This window comes from Homo sapiens, chromosome 18 (assembly GCF_000001405.40).
Source record: "Homo sapiens chromosome 18, GRCh38.p14 Primary Assembly".
In the NCBI taxonomy this organism is placed as follows: Eukaryota; Metazoa; Chordata; class Mammalia; order Primates; family Hominidae; genus Homo; species Homo sapiens.
In genome coordinates this window covers 34,917,061-34,943,723 of record NC_000018.10, presented here as the reverse complement: position 1 = coordinate 34,943,723, position 26,663 = coordinate 34,917,061, and the positions used below count along the sequence as shown (strand labels likewise).

The following is a 26,663-nucleotide window of genomic DNA, read 5'->3' as shown; positions in this document are numbered from 1 at the left end:
GCGTAGACAGATATAAATTATGTCAAACTTGACTTGTTTGCCTTTTTGAAGGAACTTTAACACACACTTTTATACAAATGCTTTTCTTCCCCCTTTGGAAAAATGAGAGCAATAATTTTGCTTGGGAAATTTTCCTATTCTTGGAATCTTGTCTCACTTTGGACAAGCCTCTTGCCTCTACTGGGTCTCTTGTTCCTTGGCTATAGAATGTAGAGTTCGGACTTGATGGACTTTAAGCTCCCTTTCATCTTCATGCTTTTAGGTAAAAATCTTTGTGAGTCCCCTTTTCTGTTGGACTTCAGTTTTTCAACTGGGATATGATGTTAGGTAACCATTCTCCTGCAGAAATGGGCGCCGGGAGAGGGAGGAGGACGTGAGCCACCCTGATCCACACGTTCTCCACGCAGGCAGAGAAGACAATGTATCTTCACAGCTCTCCCACTGTGTGGCTACTTGGAGGAAATATGCTGCCAAATGAATGAAGGAAAGAAGGTGGAATGGTGAGTGACCAGATCACACCTTTAGGAGTTTGGACTTCAGTCTCTAAGAGCTAGGGCGCCACCTGAGGTTTTCAGGCAGCACAGTTATATGTTTCAATAAAAGAACCTCTGGCTAAAGTGTGAAAGATGATGGGAGGGCTAAACTGGCAAATGAGGCACAAGGTAGGAGGTTACTGCAGTAGTTTAGGTAAAAAATGACAAAGACATAGACTAAAGCAAGCGGAGAAGAAAAGAAACATTTGAGAAATTTTAAGGAGCTGACTTTGTCACAGCTTCTTGGGTGATAGGATGTAATGAGTGACAGCGAGCACTTAGGGTGTCTTCCCTGTTTCTCCATGCAAATTTTGCATTCTTTCCTATGCTACATCCTTATTTATTCTAATCTAAAAGTAATGTTTTGATTACTACTGATTATAATTAAAAATTTCAGATAAAATTATCTATGTTTATTCTGTGTATTCAGTTTGAGAAGTACAGATATAGAAAGAGAAGAAAAAGAGGCAATGGTTAGAACCCTAAGGAAAACTAACATTTAAGGGGTAGGTAGAGGTAGAGGAGCTGGCAAGGAGATTAAGGAGGAATGGTCAGAGAAGCTGGGGGTGAAGCTGAGAAAATGTTACCATGGAAGTGAAAAGAGGAGACAGTTACGGGGGCGAATGACTAATAGGGTCACATGCTGCAGAGAAGTCAAGGAAGTTAATGGAAATATTAACTTTGAGTTCAGAAATTAACAAAGTCTTGTTGATTTTAGTGAAGGCACATTCTGGTGACAGACAGTAGATTGTCATGAGTTGAGAAGTAAATGAAGAGTAGAAAAGTAGGGCAACGAGCATGAGCTACCCTCTTCAGGAATCTTGACTGTGAAAAGAAAGAGCACTAAGAGGGCAATTTATTCAGTGGGAAGCATAGCGTTTTTTTTCTTTCAAGTGTCAGAAAGATGAATATTTTTATAGATTGGGAGGAAGGACCCAGTAGATATGGAAAGATAGAAACTACGGAGAATTAATCTCAACCTCTCAAATTCTAGAAGGTAAATGGGAAGTTTTAAAGGTTTTAAAATATATATACTACATCCTTTAACTTTCATTTCTAGAATGTTATCCTAGTTTTAAATGCTTTGAGCACTTTTCCATAACTTAAACTCCACAATTAGAATTGTATCTTAAATATTTAATTAAAAATAAAATGAACAGAGATTTGTACAATTTTAGCATCAAAAAATTGGTAACTACTTACATACTCAACATTGAGAAAATTTCCATTGGCTGCTGTAAGAATATTCAGGTGAAAATTATTGAGTTTTTAAAATATATGTTTTTTTATTATACTTTAAGTTCTAGGGTACATGTATTTTTATGTTGGATAGGTTAGACAAGCTCAAAATATTTGTCATACCCAGGAGCCCTTTCAAGATGTTCCTCCCCACTTTTTTTCTTAAATCGTATTTATTCAGGCATAATTTACATGTAATAAAATGCACCCATTTTAAGTGTCCATTTCAAAAAGTTCTGACAAGTTTCACACCAGTGTAACCATCACCATGCTCAAGATAAAAAACACTTATACTACCTCAAAGAGTTCCCTCTCCCCCTTTCTAGTTCATCCTCACCCTGCCACTGGCCATAGGAAATCCCTGACCTGCTTTCTGTCACCATAGGTTTGTTTTTTCTAGTTTTAAATAGCATAGTATGCACTCTTTTTGTCTGCCATTTTTAGCTCAGTATTATGTTTCCAAGATTCTTCTATGTTGTTACAAGCAAATATTGGTAGTTATGCCTTGTTATCATTGAGTAGTGATGTCATGAATACACCAAATTTGCACATTTATTCACCAGTTGATGGACATTTAGGTTGTTTTCAGTTTTCAGCTGTTAAGAATAAGCTGCTATGAATATTCATTTACAAGCCTTTGTGTGAATGTATGTTTTCGTTTTGCTTGGGCAAATACCTAGGAATGGAATTGCTATATCCTAGGGTCAAATGGTAAGTGGTATTCAGTTTTATGAGAAATTGCCAAACTGTTTTCCAAAATGGCTCTACACTTTTTACATTCCCATCAACAATGTATGAGAGTTCCAGTTGCATACTCTTCCCAACCCTTGATAAATCAGCCTTCTTTACATTTTAGCCATTCTAATGGGTATGCAGTGGTATCTCACTGGGGTTTTAATTTGTGTGTCAGTGATGACTTGTGATATTGAGCATTTCTCATATGCTTTTGGGAATTTGTGTATCTACTTTTATGTATTGTGAATTTAAATCTTTTGCTTATTTTAAGATTAAATTGTCTTCATCTTCCTGAGTTGCAAGTCTTCACATATTCCAGATTCAAGCTCTTTGTCACATATAAGTATTATGCACATTTTCTTCCAGTCCTTGGCTTTTTAAATGATATTATTAGTGATATCTTTCCAAGAGCAGACATTTTAAATTTAAAGTCTGACTACTTTTCAAAAAAAAAATACATTTTTTTTTATACCTTAGGAATCTTTTTCTATTCCAAAGTTGTGAAAAAAACTCTCAATTTTTCTTCTAGAAGTTATATAGTTGGGAGGTCGAGATGGGCAGATCACCAGAGGTCAGGAGTTCGAGACCAGCCCAACCAACATGGAGAAACCCCGTCTCTACTAAAAATACAAAATTAGCCAGCTGTGGTGGCACACACCTGTAGTCCCAGCTACTCGGGAGGCTGAGGCAGGAGAATCACTTGAACCCGGGAGGCAGAGGTTGCGGTGAGCTAAGAGTGCACCACTGCACTCCAGACTGGGCAACAAGAGTGAGACTGTCTAAAAAAAAAAAAAAAAACAGAAAAAGAAAGAAAAAAGAAGCTATATAGGTTTAGCTTTACATTTAGAACAATGATCCATTTTGAAGTAATTTTTATGTAGGATATAAAGATGTTGGTTGTTTTTTTTTTAACATAGGATAGCTAATTATTTCAGCACCATTTATCAAAAAGATTAGCATTTTTCCCATTGGATTATGTTGGCACCTTTGTTGAAAGTCAATTGATCACATACCTACAGGTCTATTTCTGGGTTTTCTGCTTTGTTCAATTTATCCTTCACTACTACGTTGCTGTCCTAATAACTAACTTTATAATAAGTCTTGACATTAGGTAGGGTAAGTGCTCCAACTATGTTCTTCTTCAAAATTGTTTTGGCTATTCTATATCCTTTGAATTTTCATATAAGATTTAAAATCACCATGTGAATTTAATTTTTAAAAGCTTACTGAAATTTTGATTGGGGTTGTGTTGACTCTATAGATCAATTTGGATAAAAATTGCCCTCTTTGATTTGGAGAAATTCTGAAATAGTTTCTGCAGAATTGGTATTATTTTTTGCTTAAGTATTTTGTAGAATTCAACAATGAAGCCATCTGAGCCTATTAATATGTTTGTAAGACTTTTATTACAAATTAACGTAATTCATTTAACAGAATATAGGGCTATTAAGATGTATTTCTTTGAACTCCCTTTTGTTAATTTTCATCTTTTAAGAATTTTGTCTATTTCTTTATCACATTTATTGGTATAAAGTTGTTCATAATATTCCCCTATCTTTTCAGTGTCTGTAGGATATGTACTGATATCCATTTGTTATTTCAGATATTGGTAATCTGTATCTTCTGTCTTTAATTTTTTTGATCATTCAAGGTGGAAGTTTATCAACATGATTTATTTTTTCAAAGGCTAGGTTTTGGTTTAATTATTTTACTCTACTGTCTCTTTTTTACTTTACTGATTTTTGCTTTTGTCTTTATTATTTTATTTCTCCTACTTACTTTGGTTTAATTTGACTTTTTCTTTAGCTTCTTAGGGTCCATAACTTTTTTTACAGTGTGGCTTCTGCATACTGTGCCTGGGTCACCAGACCAGTACCATGTGGCTCCAGCACACTGAGAGATGATGGGCCTCAGTGAGCAGCTGATGCCGTGTATCGATTTGCCAGTGGCCCGTAAGATGCTATGGAGTAAAAATTCTGTTCAAAATCATTGAAGTGATTAATAGATAATTGTATTATTTCTCTCAAGAGGTTGAGAGCAAACAACAGAGTGAAAGTTTAGTTGTGAGAGTAGAATATTCTCAGATAGTGAGTAGTTGAGTCAAATAATGGTGCCCACTAATTGAGATAATGCATTTCTGCCACTGAAGGGACAGCAAAGTAGTTGTTAGTGCTGCCTTGAATGCTGGAAGACATTGTAGTTTGTAATTATGTTCTAATCTTGATAGAGCCTGGTTGTATGGCTGATCTTGTGTTTCGACAGGGCCTGGACATGTTACTGAGTTTGCCTTTTCTTTGCATGAGTAACTTTACCATTCACTCTTCTCCATACTTGATGTTACAAAGCAAGTCTCTGATCAACTACTCCTGAGAACCAAATGGGAAAAATTTTAGTGATAAAGCAAAAACACAAGACTCAATTTTATGTGTGCATTGTGTGATTCCATGGCAAAAACATGTAGAAAATGATTGAAAAGAAGTATATGGGATTATAGATAATGTTCATTTCCTTGTTTGTATTTTTCTTGCTGAAACCAGATTTCTTTAGACCTCACTTGCCTGTGTATAAAGATACAGTTACATTAAGAGTAGAAACCCAAATATCTCTGGCATAATTCCCTGTGTGCTTACACAGAACTTGGCTCCTTGTAAACCCACTTCCTTTTCCAACATAAGGAATTCCCAAACATTATTGATCTGAGGTAGAAACTAGGAGTATCCTAGACTCAAGTAGGAACCTTAGCGATATATATTTTTTATCATAAGCATGTATTACAATATCTTCATTATTCTCAGATTCTATATTTTCACATTTATTTATAACCCCAGATTAATACTTGCAGTGTTTTCTGGTCACTCATGGACATGTGCAGAGTGGGAAAAAAAATGGAGCCATCACATGCACATGTTCCCAGCTGAGTGAGCAATGTGATGTCTGCCTTCTTGCTTCAGCTCTTATGCTGTAAACAAGTGTCCTTCTAGTGGTCTATTTAGTGTCATGTTTTTTACACTTTTGTGCTTTTTGTTAATAATTTTGCTGTGTGAAGTGGCCTCCAAGCATAGTGCTAAAGTGCTGTTTGGTGTTCTTAAGTGCAAGAAAGCTTTAATATGCTTTACAGAGAAAATATATGTGTCAGTTTTGCTTCAGGCATTAGTTACAGAACTACTGGCTGTGAGCTCAATGCTCATGAATCAGCAATATATATTAAATAAGGTGTTTTTAAACAGAAACAGAAAAACAAGGTTATGTATTGATCCGTTGATGAAAATGTTGTGGTTAGAAGCTTGCTGGGACCTAACTCTGTATTTCCCCTAGGAACAATGGTTCAGGATTTACTAATTCAGTGTTCATGGTGGCTTTATAGAACACAACTCTCATGAATAATGAGAATTGACTATATTTTAAGAGGGAAAATAAAGACCTAACAAAAAATACAGACTAGAATGCATATGAACCAGTAAGATTAACATTAATAATTCTAACTGATGGAGGAAGACCAGAAATTGTAAAAGGATGTGGGGTCCAAGATCCAGAAGCAGGTACCTTTCCATTTTAGGCTTGAGGGAAAGAGATAAGGGAATAATCAGAAGAAGAAAATTTGAGGGGATGGAAGGGAATGGCAGAGTTGAAGACCAAATTTAAGGAGTTAAGGGCATCTACTAAAGATGATGTGGGGGGTTAATTAGGGACCCAAAAAGGATGTCAGCATTTTGGAATAGTCACTGAGAGGTACTAAGGCTAAGAAATGAAATGGTACTTAAAATGAAAGAACAAGCAACACAATTATAATTTATGACTTTTTTTTTGTTAAGATACATAGAAAAATGAGGTTTATAAGCAGATTGTATGGAATCTATTGTATAGATTGTTTAAACAGGCAGAATACTAACAAAATAATATTGTTTTCCCTAAGCCCTTGGCCAGGCTTCTAAATTGGATGTGTGGTGGCAGAACTATCATTTCCAGGCAAAACGTATATGTTCTTGATACTAAAATAAATTGTTTACGTGTTTTTCAAGTGCTAGTCCTTATGTTGTATATTTGTAGACATCCATTTAGTAGTAATTGGCAATTATTTATTGAACATCTACTAGATTACAGAAGCCAGAAATACATAAGAAATTAAACCTAGCCTCAGCCATCAAGAATCTTAGCTAAGGGTATATACTCCCAAATGAAGAGACAATTATGATTCAGTGTGGTGAGTGCTGCAGTGGGATAGACATGGGATACGTGGGAACAGCTGGGAAGCCTCAGACCCAGTCCTGGAGGTTTCATGAACGAGATAACCGGACTGAGATAATTGGGCTACAAACAGCTGGCTGGGAGGGATTCTAGGTGGTACAAAGTCCCAGAGATACAAACCACATAAAATTGCATACCAGAATTAATATCAAAGTATCTATTCTATTCTATTTTTGTATTACATTGTCAAAACCAGTGGCTGGCCTGAGTGCTCTTATAATTTTTCTGTGTAAAGTTTTATGTGACAATTATCATAATCATCATCAAAATTTTAATGTCAATATTTCTATAAATTGCATTTATTATTTATTCTTTTAAACTATTACATGTTCTGCCACTTTGATTATAATCAGAATATATTTAAAATTTGAATGGCCATAAAATAAAATAAATTGTTATCAATTTATAAACACGCTAAGCAGAAATAAAAATAGACATTTGTCTATCTATCAAACTATTTTAGAAACTCCACAAAGATGATTTAAGAACACGTTTTGTAACATGGAAAGGATTTTAGGTGAATTTTTTACTTAATATCTTTATTAACTAGCTTTTCTAAAATAGTTATAAATAACCCTCAAGCATTTTTTATAAGCCAATCTTTTTCTCCCAAGCAAAGTTGTGAGAAAATGTTCAACTAATAAGCCTTAAAGTTAAGGATTCTGGCAAAGTTTGACATTATAAACACATATATTTTTTGAAGAATAGAGAATTTTTATAAATATTCATTCTGGATGAATACTCTGCTTGGAAGTGGTTTGTATTTCAAATAAAATAAACTTTACATTGATTTATCTGTCTTTTGTATATGGAATAGGAGATATAAGTGATTTCAGATGTGTTGGGAGTTCTTTTTATTATTCAATTGGCTTTTATTAAAACACTATCATATAATACTTCCTTGCAACTAGAGTCTTTTTTGCTTTAGGACAATTTAAAATTACATAAATATTTCTTTTTTTCACACACAGACTCATTGAAAACAGTTTGGCACTAATTAGAGAAATTCATGTAAGTTATGTGGTCATATATTGCATATTAGCCATTTTCTCTGACCTGTCAATTGGAAGAATGTTGCTATAAAAATATGGAGAACAGTATTTTAAATAAATGGTCAAACTGCATTTGGCACTTATCAGAGCTGGCTAAGGGATCTTGCATACTATTAGATGTATTTGAAAGTGTATTATTGGTTTAAGGAATACCACTGTGGGCTTTTTTTTTCTTCCCTAAATAAGTCATTTGAATTCCTATAACTTTTTTTGCATAAGAGTGAGTGTTGTACTTCATAAGAAATGTGTTATTTATGTCAGTATATTTCCATGATGCTGCTGTGGTTTCAATTTTATATTGACATAACATAGAGTCATGAATGGGCATTTGGGATTTTTAAAAAATCATTGAATTGATATATTTGAACTGAAATGCTGTCTATTTTTCTGTTTGCTGTTGGAAATAGATGCAGAATGTTTGCATTATTAATAGAGGGCTTTGGGTTAGTAGTTTCATGCAAGTGAATGGGATGTACAATTAATGACAGAAATTAAATTATTTTAAAAATAGTTTCAGTAGAGGAGAGAGACTAAGTTATTAACTTGACATTTTAGATATGAATTATTAAGTTACTGAATATGAAAACGTTATATCACAGAGGTATAGCCAAGGGAAAAATCACATTTGCTTTAGACTAAATGTAGCAGAAAATGAGAACCGGGAATATTCCCTCTCGCCATATCTATGATATACACATATGATAGATTTCCATGTGAATACCCAGATGTTGAAGAAATTCTCAGTAGTTTTTCATACATCATAGTGGACAGTTGTTACAACTATTAACATTATACTGTATCAGCAAATTGTGGACTGCTATTCAGGATAAGCTGTGCTTATACACAGTTCTCACATAGCTAAAGCAAGTGAGTGCAAAAGATACAAGGACATGCTGGGTGCGGTGGCTCACGCCTGTAATCCCAGCACTTTGAGAGGCCAAGGCGGGCAGATCACGAGGTCAGGAGATCGAGACCATCCTGGCTAACACGTTGAAACCCCGTCTCTACTAAAAATACAAAAAAACAATTAGCCAGGCGTGGTGGAGGGCACCTGTAGTCCCAGCTACTCGGGAGGCTGAGGCAGGAGAATGGTGTGGACCTGGGAGGCGCAGCTTGCAGTGAGCCCAGACGGCGCCACTACTGCACTCCAGCCTGGGTGACGGAGCGAGACTCTGCCTCAAAAGAAAAAAAGAAAGATACAAGGACATGCAGGAAGTCATTCTATATATATATCTGAAAAGAAGCAAATCATTTTTAAATGTTGATACTTCACTAAGGCAAGCCGTGCATTTGATTATTGTACACTAGTCTGTTCCAATAGCATATTGAAAAACTGCTGGCCTAGAGGACTCTGGCTATGGAGAACACCCATGCATTATGAGTCATCAAGATTTCTTTATTATCAGTGGAAAGTGGCATTACAAGACCTGAATTAATTGCAACATACAGATTTTATTGGATTGAGCTGTTCACCAAGTAGCACTATTGATTAAATTCTAAGATAAATGCTTTGATGAAATCTTGAAATCAATAAATCTATTTGCATTATGACTTTAAATCATTTGTTATTTTAAATGGATGTGATGGTGAGCCATCTGGGAATATAATTTGATGAATTATAGATAAAAATAATGATTGGACTTTATTTATATCAACTGGGTTTTTTTTGGATCTCCAGTTGGGTGCCATTTCTAGAGAGTTTTGAGAATTAGGACTTGGACACATTTGAATAAATATTATATTCCAGGCATTGTGCTTGGGAATGATGTATGTCTTTGTTAAAAATAAAAGGATTGTTTTCCTTTGGCAATTAAGGTGCTGTTTAAAAGCTGTAAAGATGTAGTTACCCACAATGACATCATTCTAAGGCCTGGAAAATGGAAAAGGTTAAGATATGGAGAACAGTGGCTCTCAAGTTTTTTTTCAGTGGAGAGATAAGAAATTAAACAACAAAAAGAACATGACACAGGAAATATTTAAGGTGAAAGAATATAATTTTTTCATAAGAATAACTGAATTAAATATTTTTCTTTAATATCAATTAAAATTTTTTGAAGGAAATAACATAAGAACTGTTTCTTTTTTTCCTTATAAATTATTTATAGGGCAAAAAGGAGACTTTCTAGCAGGACACTGAAAAAGACAAGGAACCCTTGTGCGGATGAAATGCTAAGTGAAGTGTTAGGTAGTTTAATGTACAGTGTAGAGACAAGTAATATTGGCTCATTTCTGTAAACAATGAAAGGATTGTGTCATTTTGATTGCTGTTCCCTCAGGTAATTCCTCAAATGACAAAATGAATTTATCTACATTTCTAATAATGAAATCAGCTTCATCACTGGAATGGGATCCTGGTAGCAGACTTCTCAGTCATCTTGCAGCAATGTGGGTAAGCTGTACTGGCTCTCTTATTTATTCAACACCTATTTATGTCAGCAGTGGTCTAAGTGGTGGGAGTACAATTTAAAAAAAAAAAATCAATGATTTTTCAGTTTACTGAGAAGAGTGAAGGTAACAAATATAAGGCATTCACAAGGGAAAAAACAGCAGCTGCATTCTCCCCAATTTCCCCTTCTGCCTGTACATGTAAGACCTAGCTTAGTCATTGTGACTGATTGTGCAGAAACACTACTCACAAAATACCCATACACATTTCCTAATACCCATATAATGAAATGGGATCATGTGACTAGCTATGGTCAGTGAGTTGGACGTAGAAATAGAATTGATATAGTTCACTTCTAGGAGAAAGCATTATTAACAGGTATGTGATACTCCAGTTCTCTCTTCTTCACTGTGGTGACCCGGAATCCATGTGTTCTAGATGGTGTAGCTATAACAAGGAATTAGACTGGGTCCTTGAGTCATCGTTTTGAAGGGAGCTATGCTGAAGAGCCTCTAGACTCATGGTAGACTTGCTGTGTGTTAATCCATTGATAGATCATGGTTGTTGATCTTGCAGCATAACCTATCTTATGCTGACTAATGGATTGCCAGTAACTGATATTCCCCTGCTGCCGCCATCAGTAATCCAGAGATGAAACTTCCAAGCACATTAACAGTGTTCTAGGAAAATTTAGGGGACTCATTCTTTAATTCTTTAACTTATAATTTAAACATAGGATAGCTTAGCCTTAATCTCACCTACCTTTTTCCCTTACTACAAACTTTTCACTTTTGGCCCAGTATTTTAGTTGGACAAAGAAAATGTGCTACACTCAAGTAGGCTAGGTGATTATTATTCATGCCTAACCTTGATGTTGCTGGATTTTTGTTAAACAGAATCTTTGGAACTTGAACCTGTTGAAGGTAACAATAATAAGTCAGCACAGACAGTCACCACTTAAGAGAGATTGGTACTGATAAGCACTCTAATGACTCCTATTGTCTGCATAATGATGGTGGTGATGGTAATGCTAATGTCAGCTAACACTTCTATGGCACTTTAATATGTACCAATCATGAGTTTAAATTCTTTTCTATATATTAACTCATTTAATTTGTAATTAATGGTGTTCCCCAATTCTACTTCTACTCGTCATGAGTACTAACTTCATTTCACTGCTCAGTGAAATTTCTTCCAACTCCTCCAGGAACAATGATCACTTCTTCTGAGCTTCCTTACAACTTGGTACATATTTTTGTTAAGCATGTATAAGATTATATTGCAATTATTTGTTGATGTGTCTCGAACATCATATAATCCATAAGGGCTGCTTCTTGTTCAATTTTATATTCCCCAAACTTACACATTGTCTAGAACACCAATCAACATAAGATGAATGATTGAAAAAATAAATTTAATAAATGAGTGAATAAATAATTGAAATTACATGAATTTTTCCATTTGTTATGGCCAAGAGAGTACCGACAAATAAAAAACTGGGAAAATGGTCTTTTTACAGTGAAAACAAAAGGTTTTTACAGCTTTATAGTAACCCTGAAAATTTATAACAATAATTTTAGGCTTCACCTTCAAAGCAGCTTTTAATCAGGTATATTCTTTGGCCTGGATAATCAGATGTGACCCCATGGGGGAAAATGACACAAGAGCATTAGAAAGATTGATTTGTAAGGAGTCTCTTTCGTGCCTAGAAAGTGGTATTTTATACCCTTCGGGACATGGGTAGAAAATGGCCTAGTGCTCTTAGCTAGTGTCTAGGACTTAATGGAGTGGTTCTCTATAATCAGATATGAGACCTTTTAAGTAACTTAAAGGCAAAACTGCAAAAGCTTAAAATCTGGTAGCAAAACAACAGTGTTCATTGGCCTTCACTAGGATTAATGGCTTAAATTGTTATTATTTGCTATTTAATAAAAGAGAAATAATGCAACTGAAGGTTTTCTTTCAGAATTAAAGCATTCTGATAAATGATTCTATTGGAACTTTGACATAATTTTTATTCCAATATGTTAAAATCAAGGTCATTGATGGGTATGTGGACTTCCAGGCAAAAAAGGATGTCTCAGAAAGAACTCTTGAACATTCCTTACTGTATTGTCAACTTGGGAAATATTAAGGCTCTGTAATCTTCAAATCTGAAAGGGAATAAAATAAAAAAAATTTATTGCTATGATTAGTAACATTAGTAGTAACAGACATTTATTGAACTCTTACCATGTTTCAGGCATGCTGCTAATTCTGTATGCATTTTACCTTATTAAATCTTCCAAGCATCTTTTTGAGAGTTGTGTTATTATTTCCATTTTACAGATAAGGAAACTAAGGCACAGAGAGGTTAAGTAAATTGTCCTTGTCACAATCTCACATAGTTAATAAGCAATCCTAAAGCCCAATTCTTAATCTACACACTGCACATGCTCCCTATGGATGGGAATGGAGTTCTTTTTCTTCTTTTCCCCATCTTAATTGGGGTATAATTGACAAATAAATTCATCTATATTTAAGGTATACAATTTGATGTTTTGATATACCCATACATTGTGAAGTGATCACCAAACCACAATCAAGCTAGTTAACATATCCATCATCTCCTAAAGCTACTTTTCTTTTGATATGGTCAGAATACTTAAGATCTACCCTCTTAGCAGATTTCAAATATAGAATACAGGATTATTTACCATAGTCTCTATACTGTATAGTAGATCTCCAGCGCTTATTCATCTTGCATAACTGAAACTTTGTATCCTTTGACCACAACTCCCCATTTCCCCCAGCCCCCAACTCCTGGCAACTGCTGTTCTACTCTGTGCTTCTATGAGTTTAACTATTTTAGATTCCTCATATAGGTGAGATCATGCAACATTTGTCTCTCTGTGTCTGTCTTATTTCACTTAGCATATTATCCTCCAAGTTCATCCATATTGTTGTAAATGGTAGGATTTCCTTCTTTTTCAAGGCTAAATAATATTTGTGTGAGTGTATGTGTTTATTGTGTATCACTCCCGTGGCTCTTTTCCATGTTGCTGAGGTTGGGAAACAAGCTGGACTAGTACGAGGCTCATTCCTTTTAGTACCTTCCCACCAAAAAGTACTTTCCTCTTGGATCTACTATGGTTGGTTAGGAGGCTGGGGAACACACCCTTTTCTGAGAATCCTTTGCAACCCACAACTCTAATTTGGGTTGTGCCTAAGATTAGACAATGGGGACTTAAAAGAAACTGCCGACTCTCTCTGCCATTCAAAGGGACAATCTATGCTGTGTTGTCTAGATACCTCATATATCATTTTTTCATGATTCTCTGCATGATAAAAATTTTAAGAGACCACATGTTTTAAGAAAATATTATAAAAAAGAAAGCCAAACAAACTGAAGTTCAATTTAGGGCTAATGAATATCTGGAAGTCTTTTCCGCAGACATTTTTATCACAGGTGGTTGGACAACATTTATTTTTTAAACAGCTCATAGGTGCCTATACAAATTATACAATTAGAAAGATTTCATCTTTGTGGTAAATGGAAATAACTAGGGAATCCTAAAACTATCTGAGCATGGTTTTGTATCAGTAATAATAAAAATAACAGATTGTTTCATAACTGAATTTTGATATTTGTACAACTCATAAAATACTTTTACTAGTGTATTATATGATTAGATTTATAGAAACAGTTTTTGAGGTACATAGCTTGGGTGTTCTTATGAATTCTTACTTTATAGATGAGGAAACAGATGCTTGTTAGGTTACATGACTTGACCACAACCAATGGGGACTCACATCATATGCTCTGCCTTAAATCTCATAGTTTCAGCTTTGCAACACCTGACCTTTCTACCCAACCCATGACTCAGCTCTGTGGCCAGCCTCATGAGGGGATTAAGGAAAATGGGAAGAAGAGGCCTAAGTAATTTTTTCATAGATTATTGAAAATTGATTCATAAGACCTGGAAATTGAAATGTTGAAAGCACGGCTATCATCACAGCTAATTATGGGGTTGCAGATGAGTTCGACTTATCTGGGCTCAATGACTAAGGCTTTTAGATTCTCTCCTTCCCTCCCTCCCTTCCTCTCTTTCCAGAATTTGTTTAGCTAAAGTGACTTATGATTCATTCAACAAATATTTACAAAGCCCTAATCCACTTGCCTGGAAAATGCCCTTCTCTGAAAGTCAACCTGGCCCCACTGGATTCGAACAGTAAGTTCTGAAAAGAAGATCTAAGCTTTTCATACTGTTATTGGTTCAGTATTGCCTGGCTCCTTAGGGGCTTAAATGGCATAATAACTGGGGGCAAAAATTCCCATTACTGTACACATGCTATGTATAAGACACAATGCAAGATATTTGGGATGAGCAGAAAACAAAATGCAATAAAACATATTCCTTAGTGATCTTATAATTTAGCAAAATAGTTTCTAGGCCTAAATATTATGTGCCAATTCATATTTTTTCCTCTCTTGGACAATGTAGATTCTTCAGTATTAAAAGACCTAGTGTAATGAGGAAAAAAGATGTACTCATTTATTTAATTCATAGTGAGTGTCTGCTATGTGATCAGGTAACATCCCAGGCCCTGGGGAACAAAAGCAGCCTGAAACCACCTTATAAACCCCTGCCTTAACTCAAATAGGGGGAACAATTTAAAAAGAAATAAACATAAAAACTAAATGAAATGGTCCAAATTGTGTTATGTGTGAAGAGGCCAAAAAATAAAAAAAATAAAAAAATCAAGGGGCTAAGAAAAACACATTTGGAGAGGGGACCTCCTTTAGGTAGGACGCTCATGAAAGCATTTGGAGGGCTTCATTTAAGCTGGGACCTAGGGATGAAAAGAGTTAGTCATATGAAGAGAGAGGGCAAAGGCCTTCCAGGCAGAGGGAACGGCAGCAAAAAGTCAAAGGTCAGATTTCATTCCCACCAGGGCTAGAGTCAAAGATTCAAATGACGTGGTCAGGATTTGGTCCTGCTCTTCACCTCGCAGCTCTGCTTCCCTGTGTAGTAGTTTCATTCTAAGCTATGCCCTCACCATGCTCATGGCCAAGGCCCCATGTCCTGCTTGGCACTGAGGGTGCAGAAACCCACGGTGGGAGGATTTTACCAGAGGGAAAATGGATTCTGGGTAGGTAAAAACAACCTCCCCCTCCCCCATCCTTGAAGCCTGATTTGAAAACCCTTGAAGCCTGAAAGAGTTCCAAACAGATGGAGGATGAGTGTGGCAGGTTGTGGGAGGAGATCCGCCAAGATTGGGTGGGGCTGGTAGCGAGGGATGCATCCTCTAGGTGTTAGGAAGAGCAGCTTGGATTGGATCCTAAGAGCACTGGAAAGCTGTTAAAGGGTTTTAAATGGGAGTGATATAATTTGATTCATCTAATTTCTAAGATTTTTTCAAACATTTAAAATTATCCTCTATTTGAAAATAATTTCAAATTTATGGACAAGTTGCAATAATAAGAATACTATGTGGGATACTCATGTACCCTTTGTTCAGATTCACCTAATGTTAACGTTTAGTCTCATCAGTTTTATTATTTGCCTCCTCTATCTGTTTCTCTCTCCCTCTGTCTCTATCTCTCTTCTGTTTCCCTCTCCCTCTGTCTCTATCTCTCCCTACACACAAGAATAATCACACACATAAAACATACACATATAATATTTTTGAGCCATTTTCGAGTAAGTTGCATTATATTATCATAGCGCTCTACCCCTAAAACCTTCAGCATGTTTTTATTACTAAGAATATTCTATGACAAAACCTCAGTACAGTTAGCCACTTCAGTACCTTTAATTGTAATACAATATGTTAATGAAATCTAACATCTGCATTCCAGTGTTGTCAGTTGACCCAATAATGTCTTTTATAGATTCTTCCCCTCTCCTGTACAGGATATAGTATAAGATCACATACTGCATTTGGTTTTCATGTCTCTTTAGTCTCTTTTAATCTGGAACATTTCTGCAGCCTCTCTTTGTCTTTTATAGCATTGACTTCTTTGAAGAATACAGAATGTTCCCCATTTGGGGTTCCTCTGATGATTCCACGTGGTCAGATGGAGATATATGTGCCAGACTGAAATACTACATAAGCGATGTTGAGTCTTTCTCACGGTTTCACATCTAGAGACACATCATGTCCATCTGCCCATCATTGGCAACACCGATTTTGCTCCCCTGGTGTAGGTTTTGTCCAATTTCTCCTCCCCATTATTATATTATTTTGAAGCACATAAACAATCTGTGAGGAGTTACCTAAGACCATGCAAATATCCTGTTTCTCATGAAAAATTTCCCCAGGATTTAGCATCCACTGATAATTTACTTGAATCAGTCTTTGCTATGATGATAACAAAATGTGATTTTTCCAAAACTGCACTCCTTCCACATTTTATCGGTCAGTTCCATAAGCAAGAATACTCCTCTCTCCTATTTCTTTATTTGTTACTGGTATGGACTCATGGACATAGTTTTTCTAATAGTCTGTACTTTTTTACTATTCCTAATTGTTTTAGTCATCAAATTGTCTCAGATTTGGCCAGTGATAGACTTTTCCAACTGAAACCTGAATCTTGTGACATGCTCCCATGAAATTTTTTTAAGTACATTTTTACTATCTGGAAAAACAAGGTGTTCCATGCTTACCTGTACTTTCCTTGACCCAGCCTCAGAATCAGCTGTTTTTCTGAGAATCCTTGGTATTTGTTAGTGAGGAATGGGCATAGAGACCAATATCTGGGTGCTAGGCATAAAAATTGCTATTGGCATGGCTCCAGAGGCAGAGGTAGAAAATATATGCATATCTTACACCCATGTAAATATGGATACATACATGTACATGTACACACACATATATACATCAATCTACACATATACATGCATACATGCAAACACCTACGTATTCCATTTCTAGTTTAGAAAGCATGTGTTGACATTTATACCTCCAATTGTAATCCACTGCACAGGGTTGTTCATCCTCATTGCTTTTATAGTTAGAATTTGACTCTCAGCAACATCAACATACTTATTCATTTGCTCAATCCTGTAATGCATCTGAAATAGTTTCACAATTGCTTCTCTTTGTCACTAAACACATCCAATTGTATTTTTTTTTTTTTTGAGACAGAGTCTCACTCTGTCACCAGGCTGGCATGCAGTGGTGCAATCTCGGCTCACTGCGACCTCCGCCTCCTGGAATCAAGCGATTTTCCTGCCTCAGCCTCCTGAGTAGGGGTATTACAAGTGCGTGCCACCACGCCCAGCTAATTTTTGTATTTTTAGTAGAGATGGGATTTCACCACATTGGCCAGGATAGTCTTGATCTCTTCACCTCATGATCCACCCGCCTTGGCCTCCCAAAGTGCTGGGATTACAGGCGTGAACCACCGTGCCTGGCCCAAACGCATTTTAAAAGTTCAGGGTTTGGGCCAGGTGCAGTGACTCATGCCTGTAATCCTAGCACTTTGGGAGGCCGAGGCGGGCGGATTGCCTGAACTCAGGAGTTCGAGACCAGCCTGGGCAACACGGTGAAACCCCGTCTTTACTAAAATACAAAAAAAAAAAAAATTAGCCGGGCGTGGCAGCATGCACCTGTAGTCCCAGCTACTTGGGAGGCTGAAGCAGGAGAATTGCTTGAACCTGGGAGACAGAGGCTGCAGTGAGCCGACATCGTGCCACTGCACTCCAGCCTGGGCAACAGAGCAAGACTCTGTCTCCAAAAAAAAAAAAAAAAAAAGTTCAGGGTTTGTTTGTTTTTCTCCTTCTCCCCTTGTCTCCCCAAACCTGAGGGTAGATAATAAAATATTGTGTTCACACATGACTTAGATTCAATCTCTCTCTCTTTTTCTCCTTCTGTGTGATTATTTATTTGAATTACAATTGGGTTCACTTGTTTTAGTTTGATTTCAGCTTCAGTTTTCCTCTTTCCTAACCTTGTTGATTTAATCTTGTCAGGACATTAACAACCTTCTGAAAGAAAAATTAAATGGGAAGTTATCCTCAGAGAAGCGTTACTCCCTCTCACATCCCTTCCACCCTGTTCACTCTGCTCCCAACCCCTTGGAGGTAACCAACTTCATTGCTTTCTAATTAATCTTTCTTGAACTCCTTTTGTAAGGATAAGCAGGTAAATTCATGCTTTCTTGTTTTCCTCTTTCTTTCTTACAGAAAAGGCACATACTCTGTGTATTGTTTTGTACTGTGCTTTTTTCAGTTAACAATATCTCCTGAAAATTCTCCATATAAGTTCATATTGTTCTTTTTCTTTTTCATAGCTGTGCAATACTCCATATGTGTATGTATCATAGTTTTTTTCAATCTCTTATGCCCAACATTTGGATAGCTTCCAATATTTTGCCATGATAGATAATGCTGCAATAAATAGCCTCTTCCACACATGTATTTCCATATGTTGGAGAGCTATCTTCACAGTAAATTTCTAGATGTGGAGTTGCTGGATAAATAGCTAAATGCATATGTACTTTTATTAGATATTGAAAAACTCCCCTCCATAGAGACTGTATTATTTCTTGTGTCCCTCCTGCAATCCATTTGAGGGAATGAAATCTCTACTACCTTACAAGACAATGTATTGCTCTTTGCCAAACTATCTGCCATTATTTCTTATTTGGATCAAGTTCATTTTTCAGGAGATTTTTTGAGAAGGGCACATGAGTACATTAGGAAATAATTTCTTGAGTTCTTGCATGCTCAAAGACATCTATTTACAGCATTGATTGTTGAAGAACAGTTTGGATGGATACAATATTCTTAATTTACACATTTTTAGTTTTTTTTGAAAATGTTGTTACTATGTGTTGAATATGTCCCTGAAAGTTCATGTGTTGGAAACTTAATCCCCAATGCAACAGTGTTGGAAGGTGGGGACTAATAAGAGGTGACTAGGTCATGAGGGCTTTAACCTCATGAACAGATTAGTGTCATTATGATGGGAGTGGGTTATTTATCTCAAGAGTGAGCCTGATATAAAAACAAGTTTGCCCTTCTCTTGCTCTCTCGCTTTTGTCCTCTCTTGCCCTCCCACCTTCCACCATGGGATGATGCAGCATGAACGTCCTCACCAGATGCTGATGCCATCCTCTTGAACATCCCAGTCTCCAGAACTGTGAGCCAAATAAACTTCTCCTGTTTATAAATTACCCAGTCTCAGATATTCTGTTATAGTGACACAAAATGTACTAAAACAGTGGGTCAGTTGTTGCCTTGTTTTGTATGTTGTTTTTGACAAGGCCAATGCCAGTTTATTTCTCTGCCATAAGGTGGATCTTCTAGTAATGACTTCTCTCAGCTTTTGTTTATCTGGGAACAACTTTATTTTCTGTTCATTTTTGAAAGACAGTTTTGCTAGATGCAAGATTCTTGGTTGACAGATTCTCTTAGCACTTTGGATATTTCATCCCACCTGTTTTAGCCTCTATCTTTTCTGATGAAAAGACAGCTGTTAATCTAGTTGGATTCTCTTGTAGAGGATGATTCATTTTTATCTTGCTGCTTTCAAGATTTTCTTTTCCATTTGTCTTTCAAAAAATGTCAGGGTATGGATCTCTGTGTTTACACTATTGAGAGTTCATTTTTACTTCTTTCTTTATCTCTTTTTTTTTTTTAATTCTCATTTGAATCTAATTTTGGGTACCTTTTGATTTCTGATATAATTTTATCTTTTTCTCTCTTTCTTGAATTCAGCTTTCATTTTATTTCTTCTTTCCCATTCCCCTCTATTTCCGTTCTTGATTTTTGTTTTTGTAGTTCAAGGCTTTTTCATACTTACAAATATTTGTGTAAAAGTGTTTAATTCTGTTTGGAGTATTTTATGACAATTTCTTCAGCTTTGTGGTTGATTTTGTGGGGAGGGGTTTTGTTGACTAAAATGTCTCAACTCACATTTTCTGAGTTGTTCTCCAGCTTTTGTATGGATGTGGTCTGCTATTTGTATTCCTATTCATTTTGTAGTCAGTGCTCCTAGTTTGACAATTCTCTATTCTGATGTTTCTACCCTCTGAGTTGCTTTTATGGATGGTGTTGTTTGATAGTGTCAGGAAGACAAAAAATTGTGTGCTTTGTTTTTTTTGTTTCTTTAATTATTTTATTTAATTTAGTAAATATCTTTTCCTTTTCTCACATTCTACTTTTCTTTTACTGCTATATTTCCAAGGGTTACATCTCCTTTCCTGTACAACTGATTTTTCCCCTGAGTAATGCTTCTCAGAGACTGCTGCTTCTGGTGCCATCATCCTCAAACCCCTTCCCTTTAGCTGGTATTGTTAATTACCAAGTTCTCCCCTGTGATTAGTGTTTACTGCTGGATCTTTCTCTTTCTGGGGATGCTTTTGTTTGTACCATGTTTCAGTTATCTGTGCCTCTTTGATCTTTTCATAGTCTCTTAAGGATTGCCTCCTCCACTCTTTTCACCCACAGGCTTGTAGTGGTAGGTAGGCATCAGGAGCTCAGCTGGAGTTTTTTTTTCTCTACTTACAGAGAATTTGAGTGTCATGATATTCTCTCTCATAATACTGCTAAAGGAGTGGATTATGTATGATTTTATTTGCTCTCTTTGTTGGTTTTATGTTTTTTCACGGGGTGGAGGTTGAGTGGTAGATTCCAAATTAGGCAGTCACCATGAACCATTTAAAAAAAAAATTTGTTTTTTGAGATAGGATCTTGCTCTGTCGCCCAGGCTGGAGTGTAATGGCACAATCACAGCTCACTGCAACCTTTGCCTCCCAGGCTCAAGTGATCCTCCCACCTCAGCCTTCTGAGTAGTGGGACTATAAGTGAATGTCACCATGCCTGGCTACTTTTTGTATTTTTTTTTTTTAGAGATCGGGTTTCTCCATGTTACCCAGGCTGGTCTTGAACTCCTGGCCTCAAGTGATCTGCCCGCCTTGGCCTCCTAAAGTGCTGTAATTACAGGCATGAGCCACTGTGTCTGGACATTTTTAAAAATTTTAAATTTCTGAAATCAAGATATATCTTACAGTTATGTAATAAGAAAGCATTATGTCATAGTCTAAATGGTATGTGCTTTCTGATGTACATACCTTGTGGAGGTGTGTTTCTCTGGTACTATTTAAAAAGCACATTAATACTTATTACTTGTTTTTCTCACAATGTTCCTGTTGGGGTGGCAGGTCAGGTATTGATATTATTATTTCACAGGTGAATAAGTACAGGTCTGGTGTGACAGAAACATTTATAGCTATTCACCTAAAATGCATGATCTCCCTGGCTAGACCACATTTCTCAGGCCCTGGCTCCAACCTTACAATCAAGCATAGCCATTTGGCTAGTTCTAGACATTGGAATGTGAGTGAAAGTGAAATGTGTCACTCGTAGGCCAGACTCCTAAGAGGCAAGTGAGACTTCTCCACACTTGCTTTTCTTTTCCATTAGCTAAAAGCAGATAACTCTAAAGCTCTAGTGGATGGAGAAATTTTTAAAACTGGATGAGCCTGAATCCCTGAATAACTGTGTGGAGGAAAGTTGCTGCTGACTTGGAGTATTTGCATTGAACTGTCCTATGAACAAGAAACAATTTTCTATCACCAATGAAATGTTGGTATTTGTTCCACAGCTGATGTTATCTTAACTCGTATATCTGGAAATATTAAATGTCTTACACAATATCTCATAGTTAGTGAATAGTAGAATGATGGCTAAGACCCAGATCTCTTATCTCTTTGTTAAATGTTTTGATGGATCTCTATTGCATAGGTACCACGGGATCTTGGAACTGAGCATACTTTTTATAGAAAACTCTGAAAGTAGGTAAGTAGATAGTTGCATTAAATGCTCATTTAAAAATTATGTTTTAGATTTTGAAATAGGTAAAATGAATACATCCGTCCTGGATTCCTTATAAATCTGTGAAACTGATTTTAGAGATTATTGAGAAATAACAACTATTAGTAGGATAATAGCAGTTTTTTTTGTGGTACAAAACTGAAATGCACTTCTTAACAGTGAGACACCAACAGTGTGCATAATATTTTATCCCAGATGGCTCTCTCTTTTGCCAATTTTATGTGGAAATCAACAGCTTGTCTGGGAGAATGCCTAAATACCCTTTCAGGTCAAAGTTGTCGTTACATAACAATACACTCATGTGTTTTTCTCTAAGAAAAGACCTTCTAGGAAGGCTAGGATCATGCTAAAGTATAGTCTTCTCTGAAAAAAATTCAATTTAACAAAAGTATTACATTATATTATCCAGGGACTGATGATCTCATTTATGGATAATGGTCAACAATTTACTGTTACCAGGTTTTTGGTTAGTACTATTTTGGTTAGTACTCTTTCCAATATTTTCTTTTAAAATAGTTATCAGTCATTGGAGGAAATGATGTCAAAACTTCCACAAGTTTTTTTTTTTTTTTTTTTAATGCTTTCCTTGTCTGCTACTCTCTGTCCATTTCTGCAGTTTGCAGCTCTGTCTTGTACACAGCAGGGACCTGTTGCTACCTTAAACCTGACTCCAGGAAATGCATTTGGAGACTTTTTAGAAAAATCTCTCATTGGGTTCTCCATGGTAAATTTGGAGAGTTGGGGAGCTCTCTACTGCATATAAGATGGGTGGGTGCACAGAGTGTGACAGAAAAGCAAATGCACAGCCCTGTAGCAACTTTGAGAAAAGCTCTGATTCAGTCCTACATGGAGACATGCTGGTGGTTCCTCCTCAACTCCTTACTCCTCTATGGTTATAGTTTCTTTAAGTGCAAAAGTCCCATCTTCTCTTCGCTGTATAAGGCAAAGTCTACCCTTTGCATTCAGAAGAGTCCCGTGTGATGGGCAAGTATGCCCTACCACATCTGACAGGCAGGGAAGACTGAGGCAGTGTCTACTGGGCCCTGGTATGAATGGGTCTCTGTGAGGTTAGAAATGGAAGCACGAGTGCAATAGCATTTGTTGCGACTGGAGGGTCAGGCCAAGTCAGAGAGGGTACAGGAAAGTTCGGACTCAAAACCTGGGAAGACACAATGAGGCAAAGATCAAAGATGGGAATTGAAGTTAACTCTGTGAAGCCAAGTGCTCCGAAGGAAGATACCAATATAAGCAGAGTAGGATCAAGACTTAATTGAGTCTTTTGTCCCTGCTTAACGACTCAAGTTAACTTAGCCTCCTCCACCCCTTTTTTTTGGAATGGTATTTCCTTTAAGGACTTTCTTTAAGAAATTCCCGGTGGGGCGTGGTGGCTCACGCCTGTAATCCCAGCACTTTGGGAGGCTGAGGTGGGTGGATCACGAGGTCATGAGATTGAGACCATCCTGCCCAACATGGTGAAACCCTGTCTCTACTAAAAATACAAAAATTAGCTCAGCGTGGTGGCTTGCGCCTGTAGTCCCAGCTACTCGGGAGGCTGAGGCAGGAGAATCACTTGAACCTGGGAGGCGGAGGTTGCAGTGAGCCGAGATCACGCCACTGTACTTCAGCCTGGCGACAGAGCGAGACTCCATCTCAGAAATAATAATAATAATAATAATAAAAGAAAAAAGAAAAGAAATTCCCTGGCCAGGCGCGGTGGCTGACACTTGTAATCCCAACAGTTTGGGAGGCCAAGACGGGTGGATCACCTGAGGTTAGGAGTTCAAGACCAGCCTGGCCAACATGGTGAAACCCCGTCTCTACTAAAAATACAAAAATTAGCCAGGCCTGGTGGCAGGCGCCTGTAATACCAGCTACTCCGGAAGCTGAGGCAGGAGAATCGCTTGAACCCGGGAGGCGGTGGTTGCAGTGAGCCGAGACTGCGCCACGGCACTCCAGCCTGGGCGACAAGAGCAAGACTCCATCTCAAAAAAAAAAAAAATCCCTAGGGTTCCTAATTCTCTTTAAACCTTTCTAGTCTTTGTCCATTTACTATATGTATGTATGTATGTGTGTAGATGTGCTTCCCTATGGGGAAATACTTTCAGAGTTCTGGGGTGAGATGCCAGAAAGTACTGTTTCCGCTGCACACTTGACCAGGATTTTCTCTGACATCTTTGCATTCCTTCTCTGGGCAGTAGTATCAGCTTGGGTAGCTGTAAAGTCAAGCACTGGATTTGGGAGTGTGGATTCAGCTGGTAGATGAACTGAGAGACAAATTTTTGTCGAAAGAATGCTTTCCACAGTTGAAGAAGCCCTAGGAAACCGGGGTGGAAAAACCCTGCCTGACAGAGAGACTACAGAGCACTAGGTCTGGTAGCACAAGAGATTTTGACATCAGAATTACTGCTTTGCTGAAGGTGTTATCTGGGGAAGGAAATGCAATTAAAAGATCATAGTCTTAATCAATTTAACTCTCCTGTCCCTATGTGGCTTCCAGAAGAGAAAGTTTTCTTTAGTTTTATTTAACTAAAGAGAAAAAAAACCACAAGACCGCTATCAGATTCTCCTAGTTCTTTGCCCTAAAAATTCATTAACCGATAGTACTTGATAGAGCAGCTCAGAGCATAGGCAGACGCCAACTTCAAAGGCCGTAGTACTGACAGGTTAGACTGAAAGGCCAAAAGGGAGCTGGGGAGGGAGGGTGATATAGGGATTTCTGAAGAGGTTTTCTGAGAAAAAAAAAAAAAAAAAGAGAGAGAGAGAGGTAATAGAAAGCTGCTGAAGGCAGAAGAATTAAATGCAAGTGCCCGGTAGGAAATATTGGGAAGTTTGCATTCCTATCTGACCACTTTTCCCTCCCTTAGATTTTGAAACTATTCACAGTCAAGTTTAATACAATTGTATTAGGACTTATGTTATTGTGAAAAAAAAAGATGTTGGTTGTATAGGGCTCTGATTTTATTTTATTTTTGAGTCATCATTATTAATACAAACATCATCAACAGCCTAGATTTATATATTGGTCTGTAAGAACAATTTTGGAAGACACACACATTAACTTTCTAGGACAGTTTTTCACCTCAAAATGATATTTAAGTGATACTTTTATCATCTCCTAAGTGAATGTTGTTCGCAAAATTATCCTTTATTCTTTCCTTACAGTTTCATATTTTCTTTGGTAAGGACAATGCTCATAGTCCCAGAAGCAAACAGAAATTAGGCTGATTCTGAAAGAAAGTATTTAAGAAACCCTAATAACATAAAAATAAACACTAATAACATAAAATAAAATAAAAATAACATAAAATAAAATAACATAAAAATAAACACTAATAACATAAAAATAAACATTTTTTTTATTTTTCTAATAAAAAAATGATGGTCTCAGTTCTTTCCTTCTTCAGAATATTGATGTCATTGCTTGAATTCTGAGTTGTTACCTTGCTTTGTTAATTATAGGCCATGCCTAAGGAAAATTTTATTGGCTTATTAAAGATTTTTAGGCCCAAAGATATATTCAGCCTGCATCACCAATGATAAGAAGTCTAGCAAAAATCCTATCATCCTCTCCTAACAGTTTGTTTTGAAAATTGGAGTTTTATCCAATGTGAAGTTTATCTACATGTGATCACTTGCCCCTGCTCAGGTCTTTGAACACAAGTGAATCTGAAGAATCCTAGCTCATGGATGTGGGTTAGGTGTTGCTGTTTTCTTTGTTCAGAAAATATTGTCTAGGGTAACAAAATTACATAGAGTACTTTTTAAGCATACACAGAAGAAGAACTTGGCTGTTGATGAAGCTTTTGGTCCATAGTTCATTGAGTTTATGTAGAAACTCAGCTTCATTTTAATTCCACCAGATCTGGAGTTTAGTTTGGGCTTTCCTGTCACAAGTAGAGAGCACATAGGCAGAGAATGTATGCCTTTTAGGAACATCACCTTCTGTTTTTTTGCTTTCTCTTTATGAATTTCATGCATGGATATTTAAAACTTTGGATAGTAAATGATCTCCATAACAAAATCTTTCATTTGAGGATGTAGTGAACTCAGTTTTAGTCATGCCAAATGCTGGTTTTGAAATTTAATGTTATTTGGCCACAAATAATTATTTGCATTTTTGAGATGAATTATGGTTCTACCACAAATGCTGAAAGAAATGATAGAATGATAATGTGTTCTTTAGAGTGAAATTTGAGTTGGAAATAGATTGATATGAAAAGGACAAATATTCCATTGAAACCCACTATGGGTGTTTGTAAAACTGCTCAGTGATTGCTAAGTGTTTATTAATTTTTTCTAGTTATTCTTCTCAATATACTTCTCAAGTGGGCTGCATTACTATTTTTTATGCTTTAATTGTTAGAATCTAGTTTATCAGGGCTGATACCAGGGCTGACAGTAAAAGTATGAGAGATAAAAATTCCTAATATAAATAAGTAAATGAATAAACAAGCAAATAAGTAAAAAAAAAAAAAAAAAAAAAAAAGGTGAGTAAATGAACAAATGAATGAATAAATAAAAATAAATAGAAAGTCTGTTGGGAATGACCTCTTCAGATAATTCTCACAGTGACCCAACTATTATACTGTGAATGGCTGAGGAACTATCATTTGGTACAAAATGGCTATTTTTTTTTAACTTTCATTTT

General features: G+C 36.5%; 1 long non-coding RNA gene across 1 annotated transcript in view, besides 2 other annotated features; it reads left to right on the top strand.

Annotated features, from left to right (window-relative positions):
- LOC105372061 (uncharacterized) overlaps positions 357-26,663 on the top strand; it is a 51,352-nt gene continuing 25,045 nt past the window's right edge. Inside the window, exons 1-3 of the long non-coding RNA XR_007066333.1 lie at positions 357-500; positions 10,081-10,193; positions 21,926-21,979. This is a non-coding gene — a long non-coding RNA (uncharacterized LOC105372061). The remainder of the gene's footprint in view (positions 501-10,080; positions 10,194-21,925; positions 21,980-26,663) is intronic.
- Positions 425-719: a silencer, noted in NCBI's record as "tiled region #2105; HepG2 Repressive DNase matched - State 3:PromF". NCBI's record gives its function as "represses a minimal TATA promoter and a strong SV40 promoter by Sharpr-MPRA in HepG2 cells {active_cell/tissue: HepG2}" and the evidence as "EXISTENCE:reporter gene assay evidence [ECO:0000049][PMID:27701403]".
- Positions 14,165-14,459: an enhancer, noted in NCBI's record as "tiled region #7107; HepG2 Activating DNase unmatched - State 1:Tss". NCBI's record gives its function as "activates a minimal TATA promoter and a strong SV40 promoter by Sharpr-MPRA in HepG2 cells {active_cell/tissue: HepG2}" and the evidence as "EXISTENCE:reporter gene assay evidence [ECO:0000049][PMID:27701403]".